The sequence below is a fragment of the Homo sapiens genome, chromosome 2 (genome assembly GCF_000001405.40).
Source record: "Homo sapiens chromosome 2, GRCh38.p14 Primary Assembly".
NCBI lineage: Eukaryota > Metazoa > Chordata > Mammalia > Primates > Hominidae > Homo > Homo sapiens.
Genome location: NC_000002.12, coordinates 138,822,107 through 138,827,267, shown reverse-complemented (window position 1 = coordinate 138,827,267; position 5,161 = coordinate 138,822,107). Strand labels below are relative to the sequence as shown.

The window sequence follows — 5,161 nt, the reverse complement described above, 5'->3', positions numbered from 1 at the left end:
TAAACACTTCCCACAGATCAATTTGTTACCAGTAGCGATATTAAACATACCTAACAGATGGTAGGATGCAGGGCTTCCAGCCATCACAAAGTTGGCTGACCAGTCAGCACAGGAGACAGAGCTTCACCCCCTTACCACACTTTGGGGGTGGAATCTCATCAATTTTCCTTGAAGTAGCAAGAGCCCTGGAGTCTCATTGCTAGGAGGTCTGGAGGCCACTTCCTTCCCCTTCTCTGATGCCGTCTTTTTTGGCCCTCAATTTTCTCGCTTGTAAAATAGCAATAATAGGCCCTTCTCAGCTTCCTTTATAGGGCTGTGGTGGGGATCAAAGGAAGATAAGAACATCTCACCAGGTATCAAGTGATTAGCTGAGGCAGCAGAACTTGGTGACCTGACGGTGGGTTTTGCAGCCACCAAAGAGGGCTTGAATCCACTCCACACCATTAACTGTTTAACTTTGTACAAATTGCTCAAGCTCGCTAAGCCTTGATTACTGCACTGTCACATAGTTCTGATGATAAGAATTAACTTATAAGACTAGAAGATATTTAGTCTGCTTTCTCTCCTCAACAAATTTTAGCTGTTATTTATTAAGAAACATTTTGTTCATGAATTGTTTTTCAAATTTAATTTTCTATCTTATCCAGCAGACATGGAAAATCTATATTTAGCTGAATGGTTCTCTACTGTCACTTACCAGGAGAGGAAAGGTTCTGGAAACATGCATACATATAGGGAGTCAGGAAGAGAGACCAGACGGGGGAGTTTAGGGCTCAGATCAGACAGGTAGAGACTAGCTAGAGGCCCAGGAGAGCAGGAAGGGAGCAGGCATATGGCCAGTATGGAGAGGGCTCAGCTGGGCTGCAAGAGAAAATGAGAAGCTCACCACTTGTCAGAGATCCAAAGTTAGACTCTTAGCACCCATGTCTGGGAATGCAATGGCAATCTGAACAGAAGATGAAAAGTCCTGAAAAAAAAAAAAAACGGATCTATAGTGTTTAAGGCTCAGCAAGGAACAAATAATATTTTTAAATGTCCTAGATGGGCCAGGTGCAGTGGCTCATGCCTGCAATCCTAGCACTTTGGGAAGTGGAGGCAGGGGAGTGGCTTCAGCCCAGGAGTTCAAGATCAGCCTGGGCAACAATAGCAAGATCCCATTTCTACAATCAATCAATCAATAAAATTCTTAGGGAAAGGAAAGTAAAACCAGAAGTTTTCTTGGTGAATGCAGTAAAATGGAGCTAGAAAGGGGTCTGAAGATGGTCCAGGGTCTGCAGGCACTCCCAGGCCCCAGCACTGCCCTTTCCTGAGGGACAGTTGACCTCAGCAGCGTTCTTGTATGGGCCAGCAAGTGCACGGGAAGGCTGGAGGGAGGAAGGCTTTCCCCTTGCTTGCACCGCCACGGCAGTTGGTTAATAAAGCTCACCATACTAGAGGAGCTTTATAACAAACAGCTTGTTGTTCCTGTCCATCTTTTTCTCTGATGCTGTCAAACACTGTTTCCTACCTTTGGTCTCTGGTAAATGGTTGCTAACAATTTGGGAGTACTTATGAAACACTTTCCATAAGTGTTTAACCCTCACAACAACTCTATAGAGATTTATCAACCCCATTTCGTTCACAAAGAAAATGAGATACAGATCATCTAAATAACTTGCCCAATGCATGATATTTAGTAAATAGTGAACGAAGATGTGAACCCACAGAAAGACTGGTTCGGGAGCCCATGTTTCTAACTACACCAAGATGCAGGCAACAGCAAAGCTGCCCTATGGATAAGTGAAGTGGAAAGTGGGAATGGAAATGAAATAAGCGCTTTAAAATCCCTACTTCCACTCCCATCAACAGTCTACTGTACATTATTCCCTGAAAATAGCAATGCTATTAATCCTATCCTTGGATTAAATAAATTAACAAACAAGATTATTCATCACATTAAAAACCTAAATGTTGGTATACATGCTGTTCATTCAAAGTAAACATGTCTAGTATATGGAATCGTTCTTTTCCTCGTGACCTTTTGTTTAATTATATTGCAGAATGACCAAAAGATAGGAGTACAATAGTGATTCTCTATGTTAATCATTTTGTACAACACACTCTTAAACAACCATGAATATGGTTTTACATCTTTGTTTTTTCCAATTTTTTTCTAATTAAATTTATTAAACTTTAATTTTTCCTGTTAACTCTATTTGATTGGCAACCTCTGAGTTTCCTGTACCTGGATGTTATTGTCTTTTCCCAGATTTGGGAAATTTTTAGCCATTATTTCTTTAAGCTTACTAGTTTTTTTCTCTCTCTTTTTCAGAAAATTTTATTATATGAAGGTTTCTTATTAACTAGTTCAGTTATTATAGTCTATAACTAGTTCAGTTATTATAGTCTGTTTCTGGGCTTTCTTTATTTAATGTTTCTTTTTTTGTCAAACTTCTCATTTTGTTCATGAATTGTTTTTCAAATTTAATCTTCTATCTATATTTGTAATTTCCCAGGAGTTTTAAAGGGGATTATTCTGAATTCTTTGCCAGTCATTTTATAATTCTCCTTTTTGTCTAGGTTTATTACTTGAGTTTTATTCATTGTGCTATTGTTTTGGAGTTTTGGGGGGTAGGGTTATATTTCCCTGATTCTTCATATTCTTTGTATCCTTGCATTGATGCTTGCAGATTTGAAGGCCAACTCTTCCAGCCTTTGTATGTGCTCTTTGGTGGTGTTAGATTTTTTTTTTTTTTTTTTTTGAGACAGAGTTTTCGCTCTTGTTGCCCGGGCTGGAATGCAGTGGTGTGATCTCGGCTCACTGCAACCTCCACCCACTGGGCGCCTGGCTAATTTTTTTTGTATTTTAGGTAGAGACAGGGTTTCACTATATTGGCCAGGCTGGTCTTGAACTCCTGACATCAGGTGATTCGCCTACCTTGGCCTCCCAAAGTGTTGGGATTACAGGCGTGAGCCACCGCACCCAGCCTGATGGTGTTAGATCTTTACTATTTGATACTGGAATTTAATCGCTGACCTGCAGTTATTTCTCAATCTCAGGAAGGCTTAATGTGAGCCTCAGAATGTAATTACCGTACCAGAACTTAATCTCTGATCCCCATTTGCTTTCTGTTCTGGGGATAACTGTAAATACTGGAACTTCATTGCTGCACCTGAACTTAGCTGTTGACTTGCAGTTGTTTCAAGATCTGGGGAAGATTTAATGTAAGCACTAGAACTTAATTCAGGCCTGTAGTGTATGCTAGGTCTGGGAAAGTCTCTACAAAAGCACCCCAGCTATGTGGGAAAGGTGGCTAGGAACTCAGTCCTGGAAGATCTGTGGACCTGTGGACCACTGGCTGCTTTCTATGGTGTGGTGCCTCAGCAGACTGCACTGAAGAGGAGCTACCAAGATCTGTGTGCTGATGGCTGTGAGCCCCACCCCTATTCTTTGTCTCCAATTGACTCCAGGTAATTCAATCCGGCCACCACTCCGTGCTTCCCTTGAAATGAGATAGGAGTGGGCCTGCTGCAAAGGTTCCTAGATTGGCAGGGAAGCCAAATGTTCACCTTTAGTTCCCCTTTCCCACTGTAGAAACTGTGGCTCCAGGTGCATTCTTTGCGTGTGGTGCTCTGCCAGCTTGGGGAATGGGTTATCGTAGTGGAAGAGGTCTGTGCCTCCTACCATTAATCAGATGGTGGCTTTTCTCAGTTTTGTGGCCCAAGGGGGGTGTCTCTGCCTCTCTTCCAGCTTCTGGATTATTCAGGATGGCATGCTTGTCTGTGGATATTTACTAGTGGCACTTCTGTTGGGGAGAACGAAACTTATTCTACCATCTTGCTGAAATCACTCCTAATGATTTTATACATATTGAGATACACATTTAAACCTAATAATAAAACCTAGTAATAAACCTAATAATAAAAACCTAATAATAAAGCCTAATAATAAAAAATGGGCACTTATATTTTGTATGTCTTACATATTTGTTTATTTTACAAAAGTGTGCATCTCTAATGAATTAGTCACAGATCGTTAGAGAAACAATGCTGTTAGATGTACAAAGGTGAGTTGGACCAAGAATTTTTCTGCAAGAGTCTAACAATCTATCAAGATAAAATTCATTTGCATATAAGCAAAACCAAAATGCTTGTGTTGTAACCAAAATGAATTTCAATATCATTTTCTGGTACAAAATGGCTGGTGTATTTTAGCTACTATCTGCATTACAGGGAGCACAAATAAAGAAGCAACAAATAACGGTTTGTCTCTGAGCTTTTAAATGGAGACTCCCAGGTGTCTCACACAATGTTTTTGCTTATGAATCTTTGGAGAGAACCTAGTCAAATGACCAGTTACAGCAAAAGGAGGGTTTGATTATACCCCTTCGCTGGAAAAACTACTTCCTGAATAATGTGGGGTTTCATTGCTAAGAAGTGAGGGAAGAAAAAAGACGTTGGGATAAGAAACTAGCAATCTCTACCACACTAAGTGAGATACAAATTGTACATTAACAAATGAAATTAGGTTAAAATCTAAGAGTCATTAAAGAAGTACAGGTAAAATGCTAAAAGAATTAAGGAGAAAATTGATTTCAATTGGAAATCCCCATCAAAAAAGAAAAAAAAAAGTAAAACTGATTAACACCACTACATACCAGGTACTGTACTAGCTGTCTCACGTGTATTATCTCATTCTTTCCCAAAACATCCCCACCAGATAGGATGGATATGGTTTTCAAAATTACACAGCTGATAAGTGGAAGAACCCTGGTTTAAAAATATATATATATGTAATAAGAATATTCTAGCCAGAGAAAGCATGACGAGCCAAGATAGGAAATTGCAGGTTGTACGCACCACTGGTGATTAGTTCAGTTTGGCTGGAGCACACAGATCCTGAACAGGGTAGTAGGGATGAAGCTGTTGAGTTACCCTGAGGCTGGATTGTGGATAGAATGCATTCTTGTCTCAAGAATTACAGGTTTAGTCTATAACATGACAGAATCATGGAAAATACCACAGGCTTATGCCTGGGAGAATAAGAAGGTCAGGGTGGAGGGGTTATCATTTATAAAAATAGAGAGTCAAAGGGAGTGAGTGCAACTCAATACTGCTTTAGAAGACATCTTATCCAACATAGTCAGACACAGTATGTAGTCACATTCTAAAAGTGGTCATA

At 40.0% G+C, this 5,161-nt stretch overlaps 1 annotated feature.

The window, feature by feature from the left end:
* Positions 4,740 to 4,941: a silencer, noted in NCBI's record as "fragment chr2:139579897-139580098 (GRCh37/hg19 assembly coordinates)". NCBI's record gives its function as "represses an EF-1alpha promoter that drives an FKBP-Casp9 reporter gene in an ReSE screen in phorbol 12-myristate 13-acetate-treated (for megakaryocytic differentiation) K562 erythroleukemia cells {active_cell/tissue: K562(+PMA)}" and the evidence as "EXISTENCE:reporter gene assay evidence [ECO:0000049][PMID:32094911]".